The 14,725-nt window shown below is 41.2% G+C and overlaps 1 protein-coding gene across 5 annotated transcripts in view; it reads left to right on the top strand.

Moving 5' to 3' along the window:
• NLRC4 (NLR family CARD domain containing 4) overlaps positions 1–14,725 on the top strand; it is a 41,295-nt gene that overhangs the window by 14,127 nt on the left and 12,443 nt on the right. For 3 of the 5 annotated variants that reach the window (NM_021209.4, NM_001199139.1, NM_001199138.2), the window contains exons 4-6: positions 16–2,010; positions 10,492–10,584; positions 13,315–13,485. In NM_021209.4, coding sequence (NP_067032.3) covers positions 16–2,010; positions 10,492–10,584; positions 13,315–13,485 — 2,259 coding nt within the window. Of the gene's footprint in view, positions 1–15; positions 2,016–10,491; positions 10,585–13,314; positions 13,486–14,725 lie in introns of those variants that run through there. The other 2 variants (NM_001302504.1, XM_047445356.1) reach the window with 2 other exon arrangements.

Genomic DNA, 14,725 nt, shown 5'->3' with positions numbered 1-14,725 from the left:
CCTCTTCTCTAATAGGTCTTTTTCATCAGACATCAGAAGGAGACTTGGACGATTTGGCTCAGGATTTAAAGGACTTGTACCATACCCCATCTTTTCTGAACTTTTATCCCCTTGGTGAAGATATTGACATTATTTTTAACTTGAAAAGCACCTTCACAGAACCTGTCCTGTGGAGGAAGGACCAACACCATCACCGCGTGGAGCAGCTGACCCTGAATGGCCTCCTGCAGGCTCTTCAGAGCCCCTGCATCATTGAAGGGGAATCTGGCAAAGGCAAGTCCACTCTGCTGCAGCGAATTGCCATGCTCTGGGGCTCCGGAAAGTGCAAGGCTCTGACCAAGTTCAAATTCGTCTTCTTCCTCCGTCTCAGCAGGGCCCAGGGTGGACTTTTTGAAACCCTCTGTGATCAACTCCTGGATATACCTGGCACAATCAGGAAGCAGACATTCATGGCCATGCTGCTGAAGCTGCGGCAGAGGGTTCTTTTCCTTCTTGATGGCTACAATGAATTCAAGCCCCAGAACTGCCCAGAAATCGAAGCCCTGATAAAGGAAAACCACCGCTTCAAGAACATGGTCATCGTCACCACTACCACTGAGTGCCTGAGGCACATACGGCAGTTTGGTGCCCTGACTGCTGAGGTGGGGGATATGACAGAAGACAGCGCCCAGGCTCTCATCCGAGAAGTGCTGATCAAGGAGCTTGCTGAAGGCTTGTTGCTCCAAATTCAGAAATCCAGGTGCTTGAGGAATCTCATGAAGACCCCTCTCTTTGTGGTCATCACTTGTGCAATCCAGATGGGTGAAAGTGAGTTCCACTCTCACACACAAACAACGCTGTTCCATACCTTCTATGATCTGTTGATACAGAAAAACAAACACAAACATAAAGGTGTGGCTGCAAGTGACTTCATTCGGAGCCTGGACCACTGTGGAGACCTAGCTCTGGAGGGTGTGTTCTCCCACAAGTTTGATTTCGAACTGCAGGATGTGTCCAGCGTGAATGAGGATGTCCTGCTGACAACTGGGCTCCTCTGTAAATATACAGCTCAAAGGTTCAAGCCAAAGTATAAATTCTTTCACAAGTCATTCCAGGAGTACACAGCAGGACGAAGACTCAGCAGTTTATTGACGTCTCATGAGCCAGAGGAGGTGACCAAGGGGAATGGTTACTTGCAGAAAATGGTTTCCATTTCGGACATTACATCCACTTATAGCAGCCTGCTCCGGTACACCTGTGGGTCATCTGTGGAAGCCACCAGGGCTGTTATGAAGCACCTCGCAGCAGTGTATCAACACGGCTGCCTTCTCGGACTTTCCATCGCCAAGAGGCCTCTCTGGAGACAGGAATCTTTGCAAAGTGTGAAAAACACCACTGAGCAAGAAATTCTGAAAGCCATAAACATCAATTCCTTTGTAGAGTGTGGCATCCATTTATATCAAGAGAGTACATCCAAATCAGCCCTGAGCCAAGAATTTGAAGCTTTCTTTCAAGGTAAAAGCTTATATATCAACTCAGGGAACATCCCCGATTACTTATTTGACTTCTTTGAACATTTGCCCAATTGTGCAAGTGCCCTGGACTTCATTAAACTGGACTTTTATGGGGGAGCTATGGCTTCATGGGAAAAGGCTGCAGAAGACACAGGTGGAATCCACATGGAAGAGGCCCCAGAAACCTACATTCCCAGCAGGGCTGTATCTTTGTTCTTCAACTGGAAGCAGGAATTCAGGACTCTGGAGGTCACACTCCGGGATTTCAGCAAGTTGAATAAGCAAGATATCAGATATCTGGGGAAAATATTCAGCTCTGCCACAAGCCTCAGGCTGCAAATAAAGAGATGTGCTGGTGTGGCTGGAAGCCTCAGTTTGGTCCTCAGCACCTGTAAGAACATTTATTCTCTCATGGTGGAAGCCAGTCCCCTCACCATAGAAGATGAGAGGCACATCACATCTGTAACAAACCTGAAAACCTTGAGTATTCATGACCTACAGAATCAACGGCTGCCGGGTATTGTAAATATCAGTGGTTTGTGCTTTGTTCACTTAAAAAAAAATAACAGTGTATAAATTTGGAAAAGGAGAGAGGAGACTTTATTTCTTCTAAAGGGTTACAGCCTGCAAGGTGGCCATCCCACAGGCTGAGAAACATGCCTCCAACCAAGACCAGAGACAGGCACCTCGAAGGAGGGGTTGGGGTAGACACTTTATGTTGAATGGGTTGGCTAAACATACATATTCAACAGATTACAGGAGGAGCTATGAATATTCATGAAGGTGGTCTTGATACATGCATATTGAATAAACATGCATGTAACATACAACCCATGTTCACTTTGGGGTGGAGATTTAGCATTAAATCAAGCTTATCCAACCTGCAGTCCGTGGGCTGCACATAGCCCAAGACGGCTTTGAATGTGGCCCAGCACAAATTCATTTTTGTGTAGCCCAAGACAATTCTTCCAATGTGGCCCAGGGAAACCAAAAGATTGTACACCCCTTTAAATGATTTAAATGTATTACAATTAGGCCTATACTTCAGAAGTTCTTTTCAGAGCACAAAGGTAAGCAGGTACGCAATCTCTGTAAACCAGCCAGAACCAGTCTGTGGTTGGTGGTCCTCTGATCAGGAGAAAGTTACTGAAATCACTCTCTTCTCCAATCAAAGCTGTAGTTATGGCAGATGGAACAGGGATTGTTAGCATTTGTGAGCTGGATGAGTTGCGAATTGTTTAATATTCACAACTATCAATATTGCTTATCTTGAGACCAATGCTTGTTTAGCTACCAAAGAAGAAAAATCTGTGGCAGTTACGACAGAGTTTATTCTTTTTAAATTTTTTTTTTTTTTCGAGGTTGGGTCTTGCTCTGTCACCCAGGTGGGAGTGCAGTGGTGCGATCACAGCTCATTGCAGCCTCAACCTCCTGGGCTCAGTTGATCCTCATTGTTTGATTTTTTATGGGGAGATGAGGTCTCACTATGTTTCCCAGGCTGGTCTTGAACTCCTGGGATCAAGCAGTTCTACTGCCTCCACCTTCCAAACTGTTGGGATTACAGGCGTGAGCCACCACGCCCAGCCTAGGACAGTTTATTCTTTAAGCGTAGAGCTGAATGACTTAGCCTTTGCCTGGCATGGTCTTATGTCCTCTTTATAACTTGGTAATTTATTGCCACAAAAAGTCTGTTCTGTTAGTCTTATGATCTCTATGTCAACAGTAATGCTGATGAGTTGTGTTCAAACCATACAAGAGAGGGAGTATAATGATGTGTGTTTGACCTCCCATCCTGTCATGGCCAGGAACTGAGTTTAAGGTTTTTTTCTGGGGTCTCCTTAGCCCAGAGGGGATGCATTCAGTTGGTGGGGGGCTTAGGATTTTTAGTTTACAGCTATAATCAAGACTGGCTGGAAATATTAGCCAGGAATACTGTGAAAATGTTAGATATATAGTTTTGCTTTATTATTTATTATTTATTTTTATAGATATAGGGGGTACAAGTGCAGTTTTGTTATATCGATATATTTCGTGGTGGTGAAATCTGAGCTTTTAGTGTAACCACCATTATCAGATTATTTCTCATCCCTTGCCTCCCTGTCACGCTCCCACCTTTCCAAGTCTCCATGTCTATTCTGCTTTCTATCTCCATGTGTACACATTATTTAGCTCCCACTTGTAAGTGAGTATATATGGTATTTGATTTTCTGTTTCTGAGTTATTTCACCTAAGATAATGGCCTCCGGTTCCATCAATGTTGCTGCAAAAGACATGATTTCATTTTTATTAGTTTTGTTTTAAATTTTCTAGTAGTTTCTACCAGGTGTCAGGACTTGAAAGGAAGGTAGAAGGGCTGTGGAGAGAGGTCTATGTTGGGGGAAAGCTGTTAGATTGGGAGCCATAGGGAAGATTCCCAGAGCTGTAGTCTGATTGGAAAGATATATATACACATACATACATAGATACATATATGTATGTGTTTAAATATATTAAAACTATTTTTATTAAAAATGTAAATATACTAAAAATATTTTTATTAAAAAATATATTGGAAGGCTGAGGCAGGTGGGTCACCTGAGGTTGGGAGTTCAAGACCAGCCTGACCAACATGGAGAAACCCCATCTCTACTAAAAATACAAAATTAGCCGGGCGTGGTGGCACATGCCTGTAGTCCCAGCTACTCGGGAGGCTGAGGCAGGAGAATCACTTGAACCTGGGAGGTGGAGGTTGCGGTGGGCCGAGATCACGCCATTGCACTCCAGCCTGGGCAACAAGAGTGAAACTCTGTCTAAAAAAAAAAAAAAAAATTAAAAAAAATAAATATATACGCAGGTTAAGCTTGTCTTCAGCAAATCCTTCTCCTGCGAGCACCCCCATCTCTACCCAATACCCAGTCCTTCCCTGCCAAGTGGCACCCTGCCCTACTTCAAGTCTTGGAGGAAATCCAACCTGTAAATTAATCACCTGCAGGAGCTAGGAGCTAATTGTGTTACAAGATTCTCATCTGGGAAATTGTAGAAGATACTCAGCTCCGTTCCCACCCTAACTGTTGTTTACTTGGTTGGGGCCAGGCCAGGTGACTCACACCTGTAATTCCAACACTTTGGGAGGCCAAGGCAGGAGGATTACTTGAGATCAGCCTGGACACAATAGGAAGACCCTGTCTCCAACAAAAATTAATCATCTGGGCGTGATGGTGCATGCCTGTAATCCCAGATACTCCAGAGGCTGAGGTGGGAGGATCACTTGAGCCCAGGAATTTTCAGGCTGCAGCAAGATATGATCATATCTGTGCCTGGGCAACACAGCAAGACCCTATCTCCAAAAAGAAAAGAAAAAGAAGAATGAATGACAGAAGATTTGGGGAATATTGTCTAACATGATGAAATTTCAGATTTTAGACTTCAGACACAGATATGCGAGGGCAATCTTTCTGGGTAACGGGGATACTTCCCCAAATTCCAAATAACACTAAAGGAGAATGTCTGCCCTACCTGTGTAGACCAGCCTGGTTGCCCCGAGCAGGAACTGCTATGTGGTGTGAAGCCATGGGAAGCAGGAATCTTGCTGTACTTAACTGTAGCAGTCTGGGGTTAGTTTTCAAACGCTAGCAATTTCCCACCCAGCTCTGCCTTGCTTGTCACCCTACAGAGAAATTTCCTATCATTTTAAGATTCTAGAATTTTTTGTACAGATAATCTTTGAAACCTCCTCCCTAATGAGGGAATCCCTTCTGTAAGATTCTGGGTGTCACGAAGACTGTATTAGACTACCTTCTGTGTCAGGAAGCTCACCATCTACTCATGACAACTATTCTTTTATACTGATCCTGTAAAGTGATCACCTATGTGCTGAATTTGGCCTATATGGTGTTTATAATTATTTTTTAATGTTTGCCATTTAAAAAAAGTATTTACTTTATTTAATTATTATTTTTTTGAGACAGGGTCTCACTCTGTCACCCAGGCTGGAGTGCAGTGGCACAATCTTGGCTCACTGCAACCTCCACCTCCCGGATTCAAGCAAGTCTCCGGCCTCAGAATCCCAAGTAGCTGGGATTACAGGCATGCACCACCACACCTGGCTAATTTTTGTATTTTTAGTACAGACGGGGTTTCACCATGTTGGCCAGGCTGGTTTCAAACTCCCAACCTCAGGTGATCCACCCGCCTCGGCCTCCCAAAGGGCTGGGATTACAGGTGTGAGCCACCACACCTGGCCCCAACCTGTTGATTTTTTAAAGGTATACATAACGATAGCCAACATTATTGAACACATACAGGTATTATTGAAGCAAATTTCGTGTATCAACTCATTTAGATGTCTTAACCCTATAAGGTAAATTTTTTCTATTTTTCATTTTTGTGGATACATAGTAGGTATATATATTTATGGGGTACATGAGATGCTTTGATCCAGGCATGCAATGTGTAATAATCACATCATGGAAAATGGAGTATCCATCCCTTCAACCATTTATGTTTTGTGTTAAGAACAATCCAGTTGTACTGTTAGTTATTTTAAATATACAGTTAACTTATTTTGACTTAGATACTATGTTGTGCTATCAAATACTAGATCTTATTTATCCCTTCTAAGTATTTTTTTGTATCCATTAACCATTTCCACCTCCTCCCTACTACCCTTCCCAGCCTCTGGTAACCATCCTTCTACTCTCCGTGAGTTCAATTGTTTTGATTTTTAGATCCTACAAATAAGTAAGAACACGTGATGTCTGTCTTTCTGTGCCTGGCTTATTTCACTTACCATAATGACCTCTATTCATCTGTTTTTTTTTTTTTTTTTTTTTTTGAGAAGGAGTCTCACTCTGTCGCCCAGGCTGGGGTGCAGTGGTGTGATCTCGGCTTACTGCAACCTCTGCCTCCCAGGTTCAAGTGATTCTCTTACCTCAGCCTCCTGAGTAGCTGGGATTACAGGCGCCCAATAACACGCCTGGCTAATTTTTGTATTTTTTAATAGAGACAGGGTTTCACCATGTTGACCAGGCTGGCCTTGAACTCCAGACCTCAAGTGATCCACCCACCTCGGCTACCCAAATTGCTGGGATTACAGGCATGAGCCACCGTGCCCGGTCTATAATCCCATTTTCTACATAATGCTCAGCCTCCTAAGTCGCTGGGACCACTGACATGTGCCACCACACCTCGCTACCTCACTAATTTTTTCTCTTCTCATTCTCCTCCTCTTCCTCCTCCTTCTCCTCCTCCTCCTCCTTCTTCCTCTCCCTTCCCCTCTCCTTCCCCCTCCCCCTCTCTCCCTCTCCTCCTCCTCCTCCTCCTTCTTTTTTGTAGAGAGGAGGTCTCTCTATGTTGCCAAGGCCAGTCTTGAACTCCTGGGCTCAAGTGATCCTCCCCATCAGTCTCGCAAACTGCTAGGATTATATGTATGAGCCACTGCACCCAGCCAGTTTTAGAAGGGTTTTTTTTGTGGGGTTTGCAGAAGGGGGTGTTGTAGATTCCTTGACATTTTTATCATAGACAATCATGTTATCTTCGAAAAGAATGATTTTAAATTCTTCCCTTCCAATCTGTATTCCTTTTATTTATTTTTTTTTTTTGCCTTATTTCACTAACTAGGACTTGTAGTACAATGTTGAATAGTGACATGAATTAACATCTTGCCTTGTTCCTGACCTTAGGGAGAAAGCATTCAGACTTTCACCTTTAAGTATAATGTTAAATGTAGTTTTCTTGTAGGTGTCTTTTATCAAGTTGCTGAGAATTTTTTTTTTTTGGTCATGAATAGGTGTTGGATTGTGCTAAAGATGTTTTCTGTATCCATTTATATGATCATGTCATTTTACATGGATGGATGTTGGATTGTTTTTATTAAATTATTTTTAGATTATTTTTGAGGCAGGGTCTTGTTCTGTCACCCAGGCTGGAGTGCAGTGGCGTGATCATAGCTCACTGTAGCCTTGACTTCCTGGGCTCAACAGATCCACCCACCTCAGCCTCCTGACTAGCTGGGACCATAAGTGTGAACTATCACATCTGGTTAATTTTTAAATTTTTTGTAGAGACGAGTTCTCGCTATGTTGCCCAGGCTGGTCTTGGACTCCTGTGCTCAAGAGATTTTCCCGCCTGGGCCTCCCGAAGTGCTGGGATTACAGGCGTGAGCCACCTAGCCTGGATGTTGGATTATGTCACATGTGTTTTCTGCATCAATTTATGGGATCACGTAGTTTTACTTTTAGACTGCCAATATAATGAATTATATGGATTGATTTCCACATATTGAGCATCCTGCATTCCCTATATGAAGCCCATTTGGAGGTGGTGTAATATTCTTTTTTTTTTTTTTTTTGAGATGGAATCTTGCTGTGTCACCAGGCTGAGTGCAATGATGCGATCTCGGCTCACTGCAACCGCCGCCTCCTGGGTTCAAGCAATTCTCCTGCCTCAGCCTCCCAAGTAGCTGGGACTACAGGCGCGCCACCACGCCCAGCTAATTTTTGTATTTTTAGTAGAGACAGGGTTTCACCATGTTGGCCAGGCTGGTCTCAAACTCCTGACCTTGTGATCCACCTGCCTCGGCCTCCCAAAGTGCTGGGATTACAAGTGTGAGCCACCACGCCTGCCGTAATATTCTTTTATGCATGACTGAATTCCATTTTCTATTTTGTTGAAGATTTTTGATTCTGTATTCATGAATGATATTGGTCTAAAGTTTAATTTTCTTTCTTTCTTTTCGAGATGGGGTCTCACTCTGTCACCAGGGCTGGAGTGCAGTGGTGCGATCTCAGCTCACTGCAACCTCTGCCTCCTGGGTTCAAGCGATTCTCCTGCCTCAGCCTCTGGACTAGCTGGGATTACAGGCGCCTGCCACTACACCCAGCTGATTTTTTGTATTTTTAGTAGAGACGGAGTTTCACCATGTTGGCCAGGCTGGTGTCAAACTCCTGACCTCGTGATTTGCCTGCCTCGCCCTCCCAAAGTGCTGGGATTACAGGTGTGAGCCACCTCGCCCAGCCTCAATTTTCTTTCTTTTCTTTTCCGTCCTTCCCTCCCTCCTTTCTTTCTCTATTCTCTCTCTCTCTCTCTTTCTTTCATTAAAGACATTGTCTCATTCTGTCACCAAGGCTGGAGTGCAGTGGTGTCATCACACTTCATTGCAATCTTGAACTCCTGGGCTCAAGCGATTCTCTTGCCTCAGCCTCCTGAGTAGCCAGGACTACTCACACCTGCCACCACACCTGGGTAATTTAAAAAATATTTTGTAGGGATAGGGTCTGGATATATTGCCCAGGCTGGTCTCAAACTCCTGGCCTCAAGTGATCCTCCTACCTCTGCCCCCCAAAGCACGGGGATTATAGGAGTGAGCCACTGTGCCTGGCCTAAAAGTTTTTCTTCTACGTCTTTTTCTGGTTTTCATATCAAGTTAATGATGGCTTCATAAAATGAGTTGGGAATTATTCTTTGTACTTCTATTTTCTGGAAGTGACTGTGTAGAATTGGTGTTATTTCTTCTTTAAATGTGTGGTAGATATGAAGACAGTTGATAGAAGGAAAAAAATGAAAATGTGTGGCAGAATTTGCAAGTGAACATATCTGTGCCTACAGATGTCTTTTCCGGGAAATTTTAGATAACAAATTCAATTTCTTTAATAGCTATAAGGTTATTCCGGTTACCTACTCCGTATCACATGAGTGTTGGTAGTTTGTGGTTTTCAAAAAATTGGTCAATTTCATATATGTTGTCAAATTTATGTGCATAGATTTGTTTATATTATTCTCTAATTGTCCTTTTAATATCTGCAGTGTGTGTAGTGATATCCCCTTTTTTGTTTCTGATATTGGTAATTTTTGTCTTCTTTTTCTTTGTCAGTCTTGGTAGAAATTTTTAAATTTTATTGATCTTTTCAAAGATCCAACTTTTAGCTTCATTGATTTTTTTCTATTGTTTACCTGTTTATAATTTTGATTTCTGGGCTGGGCATGGTGGCTCACGCCTGTAATCCTAGCACTTTGGGAGGCTGAGGCCAAAGGATCACTTGTGCTCAGGAGTCCGAGACCAGCCTGGGCAACATAGTGAGACCTTGCCTCTGTTTTTAATTTGTATAATAAAGGCATAATAACTTTGATTTGCACCCTTATCTTTATTATTTTCTTTCTTCTTTCATTTATTTTGCTCTCTTTTCTGTAATTTCTTAAGTAGTATGCCTAGGTTGTTGATTTGAGGCCTTTCCTCATTTCTAATATAAGTATGCAATACTGTAAATGTCCCTGTAAGCACTGTGTTAGCTGCAGATTTTTTTTTCTTTTCACCCCTTTGTGAGGAGAGAGCTGCAGATTTTGAAGTTTTGTTTTTATTTTTATATTTTTCAAAATATTATCAAAGTTTCCATGAGACTTCTTCTTTAATGCATGATTATTTAAAAATGTGTTGTTTAATTTCCAAGTGTTTAGAAATTTCCCTGTTATCGGCCAGGCGCAGTGGCTCACGCCTGTAATCCCAGCACTTCGGGAGGCCGAGGCAGGCGGATCACGAGGTCAGGAGATTGAGACCATCCTGGCTAACATGGTGAAACCCCGTCTCTACTAAAAATACAAAAAAAATTAGCCGGGCGTGGTGGCAGGTGCCTGTAGTCCCAGCTACTTGGGAGGCTGAGGCAGGAGAATGGTGTGAACCCGGGAGGTGGAGCTGGCAGTGAGCTGAGATTGCGCCACTGCACTCTAGCCTGGGCGACAGAGCAAGACTCTGTCTCAAAAAAAAAAAAAAAAAAAAAAAAAGGAAATTTTTTTCCCTGTTATCTGGGAAATTGGTATCTAGTCTATTATTTGCAGAACATGCTTACAGTGAAGTATAATGCCCATCTCTTATAAAAAGTATATTTTTATGTCTATTTCATGAGCATTTTTGGCTCATGATGATCATTAAAATCTTTTGATTGGTAACAAAAATGACAGTAATAGTAAATGACATAGTAAATAGCAAATATCTGCTGAAAGAGTCCAATCTTTTTTCTTTTGACAGGTGGTCTGACTGACAGCTTGGGTAACTTGAAGAACCTTACAAAGCTCATAATGGATAACATAAAGATGAATGAAGAAGATGCTATAAAACTAGGTCAGATTTCTGTTCTCATATTTGTATCAATGTAAGTTTGATAATAAGAGGAGTTAACTTCAGGCTCTGACATTGGCTGTGTCTGCACAAGGCAAGGATGTTTTTATGTACTTGTGGCTACATTGGTTTCCCCAGACATTTTCCCTACTGCCATTAAAATCCTTCAGCATCATTTTATTCAAATTGTACAACACCAGATGGTAACCCTTTTGGGAAGAGAGCCCCTGACGTGTTTTTAACTTCCGTCTCCCTGGCTCATTGGCTATGTTTTTATTTAATGCATAGAAACAATATTTTAAAGTTTATAGTATAGTTTCATAGTTGCATAGAAACAATATTTTAAAGTTTATACTATGGTTTCATAGTTAAAAAAATTCATAAATGAAATAGGACACAGGAAACAATGTGAATCAAGAAAACTTTGGGGGAAGCATGCTTTCATTCTACACTGCAGGTTGTGTTTCCCCAATCAAAAAAATGAAAAGGAAAAGGAAACTTCAGGAACACAAGCAGAACACATGGCTTACCACAGGGAACCAGGCCCTGCAGGCCAGGGAGGATTCCTGTTAAAGCTGCTTTCCTTGAATGTCCCTGTTTTCTCGTGTGTTGGATTTTTTTTTTTTTTTTTTTTGGCTCTTTTTTTCCCTACTTGAGTCCTCACTAAAATACTCCTCTCTTCCCTTCATCTTGTTCTTTCTTATTCTGCTTCCTGCCGAAAGACAACTCTAGCCTATAAGCCAAACATGGCTGAAGCCTGGGCATGGTGGATCACACCTGTAATTCCAGCACTCTGGGAGGCCGAGGCAGATGGATCACCTGAGTTCAGGAGTTCGAGACCAGCCTGGCCAACATGGTGAAACCCTGTCTCTACTAAAAATACAAAAATTAGCTGGGCATGGTGGTATGCACCTGTAATGCCAGCTACTTGGGAGGCTGAGGAAGGATAATCACTTGAACTCAGGAGGAGGAGGTTGTAGTGAGCCGAGATTGCTCCACTGCACTCCAGCCTCGGTGACAGAGATAGACTCCATCTTGAAACAAAAACAAAAACAAAAGCAAAACATGGCTGACTTCTTTTCCTTATATGTCCTACGTGAGAATAATCAAATTAATTCAGTGTTCAATAAACATTTATTGCATGTGTATAAATTACACAGAAAATCAGAGCTGGAAGGGGATTGAGAGCATCTAATTCAACTCATTCATTTCACAGAAAACTCCACTAGAACCTAAAATAGCTTATTGACTTGCTCAAGATCTTACCAACTGGTAGAAAGAGGTCAAAAAGTACCTCTCTAGGATAGCCTGCTTCTGCTATTAAGGAATCAAAATGTGAACTTGACTAAACCAGTCTAATTATATCAGTAATAATTTACTCTTTATTAAAGAGTTACTCTGCTATAGATTAGACACTAGCCTCGGCAGTTTTATATACCTCATTCCATTGAATCCCCACAACAGTCCTAGTACATAGATATAATGATCCCTAACGCTTCAGCTAAAAGATTGAATAACTTGCCCAAGTTTATAATTATTAAGTAGGGGATCCAGGAACTGACTGCAAAGCTCATGCTCACAACCTTTAACCGGTATATACTCCCATGACAACAATGAACATTTATGGAGCACTTACTATGTGCCAGGCACCACATTAAATATGTTAACGTACATTATCTGCAACCTTCCCGAAAGCTCTGCAAGACTGATATTATTAGAATCATATATTTTATTTCTTTTCTTTTCTTTTCTTTGAGATGGGAGTCTCGCTCTGTCGCCCAGGCTGGAGTGCAGTGGTGAGATGTTGGCTCACTGCAACCTCTGCCTCCTGGGTTCAAGCGATTCTAATGCCTCAACCTCCGAAGTAGCTGAGATTACAGGTGTGCACCATCACGCCCAGCTAATTTTTGTATTTTTAGTAGAGATGGGGTTCCGCCATGTTGGACAGGCTGGTCTTGAACTCCTGACCTCAGGTGATTCGCCTATCACTGCCTCCCATAGTGCTGGGATTACAGGTGTGAGCCACCATGCCTGGTCATTAAAATCATATATTTCTTTCCCGTAGGCTACAGTACCATCAAGATAAGACAGTATTTTAATGACACAAAGTGAGGCCTAACCAATCCTAAACTGCACATTAGCTTTAGACTTAAGAACGGGGGATATTTTAGAATGTTTCCAATTATACTGTTGATATAAGGTAAATCTTTCTTCTGGTTAAACATGCTGCAGTGGATGTGGTCTTCATTCTAAAGCTTCAGGCAGGCCCCATATCATGAGTCCAGGCAAGGCTTTTGAGGCTGTAGACAGTTGCACTAGAAGCACTCCAAGGAGCCAAGTCCTCATCTACCTCCCTGAACTCAGCCCCCCCGCTGTTTAAGATTTTTGAGAAGATTGAAAGGAGAGTGCTCTAGAAGACTTCATTCATGTAAAGAATTACGGTAAGAGTATACATTGATGCCCATTAAAAAGACTACAAATTTACTACAGTGTTTCTCATGCTACTAAGAGAATAACCTCCATATAAGTGATTTTTTGTGTGGTCCAAGAGACTGGAAAGTGAGAATTGAAAGAAAAAAAGCTCTCGTTGATTCTTTGTAACTTAAAGTCGCTGCAGGAAGAACATGGCAAGGTCTCTGCACAATTATTCTTTGCTTTCTTTTCAGTTCATTAATCTATGCTTAAATCGAATTAACTTGGTATCCTAATGCATTCCTTTCTATCATTTTTCAGCTGAAGGCCTGAAAAACCTGAAGAAGATGTGTTTATTTCATTTGACCCACTTGTCTGACATTGGAGAGGGAATGGATTACATAGTCAAGTCTCTGTCAAGTGAACCCTGTGACCTTGAAGAAATTCAATTAGTCTCCTGCTGCTTGTCTGCAAATGCAGTGAAAATCCTAGGTAACTGTTGCTTCCATTAACTGAATGAGGACAGTATAACAGAACATGTGATACTATTATACTAATTCACACTAAATGTCTCAAATGGAAATTTAATTTTAAGGAAAACTGGAAAATAAAAACTTCTCGATAATAAGCAGATTGTTTTTAATGATTTTTCTCCATATTAGAATTAAATCAACTATTGATGGATAATAGGGGAGAATTTCAGAATAATTGAAGATGTAATTTTTAGAGAAAGTGAAAAGGAAGAAAATAAGAAATAGGTGCTTGAAACTTGCCACACAACCGGTCATATAATTTACTGCCTAATAAACATTTAAATGAATGGATAAATGATTGAGAAGTGAGAGATAAAGATTTTCTTAAATGATCTCAGGCTTCTAATTCCTACCCATTGCCCTGTTAAGATGAAGTTAATGTGCATGATATGATAATTGAGCCTTCTGAGTTCCCAAAGGGATGCATATCAACTACGGGGAAACTAACTGCATATTTCTGGATAAACTATACATGTGTAATTCAGACATATTTTAAAATTTAGATTTTGGAAAACAGTGGTATAATCTTTTTAAAGTTAAACTATATAACTGCTGGGAGTCTCTAAAGATAACTAAGGAAGCCATTTGTATACTAATATAAAGTTACAGCTAGAGAAACCCACAGTTGAAAAAGGCTGGATAAGTACTGGGAATATGAGAACAATGAGCACATGCCTTTATTTCTCTACTTACTGATGGGGAGAGACAGGCTTAGAACTGCAAATAGCAAACGTACTCTTTTAAAGAGAAGTTCAGCAGGTTTTTTATTGTAGAGCACAAAACCCAGAAGATACTTTAAGAAAAGGGCTCATATGATTGATTAAAAATAATAATAGCCAATATTATAACAAGAGTACATATTCATGAAAAACTTGTCTGATTTTTTTAAAAAGGAGATTTTTCTAGCCCTGACAGAAAAAACTTCAGCTAGATTAAGCAAGAGTGATAATATGTGAAGAAAAGCACTAAGCAATTCTTAGCTAGACTGGTACTATTATATAATTAATGTTTGCATGCAAAATAGTTTTCCATTACCTCAACATATTTGTGTCTTTGTCATTCAAACACGTCTTTTGTACACAGCATAAAACTGGGTCTTGCTTTAAAAAAAGTTCTGAATATCTGATTATCTCTGCCTTTTAATTGGAGTGTTTAGTCCATTAAGATTTAATGTAATTGTTGATATGGATAAATTTGAA

Source organism: Homo sapiens, chromosome 2 (assembly GCF_000001405.40).
Source record: "Homo sapiens chromosome 2, GRCh38.p14 Primary Assembly".
NCBI classification, from domain to species: Eukaryota; Metazoa; Chordata; class Mammalia; order Primates; family Hominidae; genus Homo; species Homo sapiens.
This window is presented reverse-complemented; position numbering and strand designations above follow the sequence as displayed.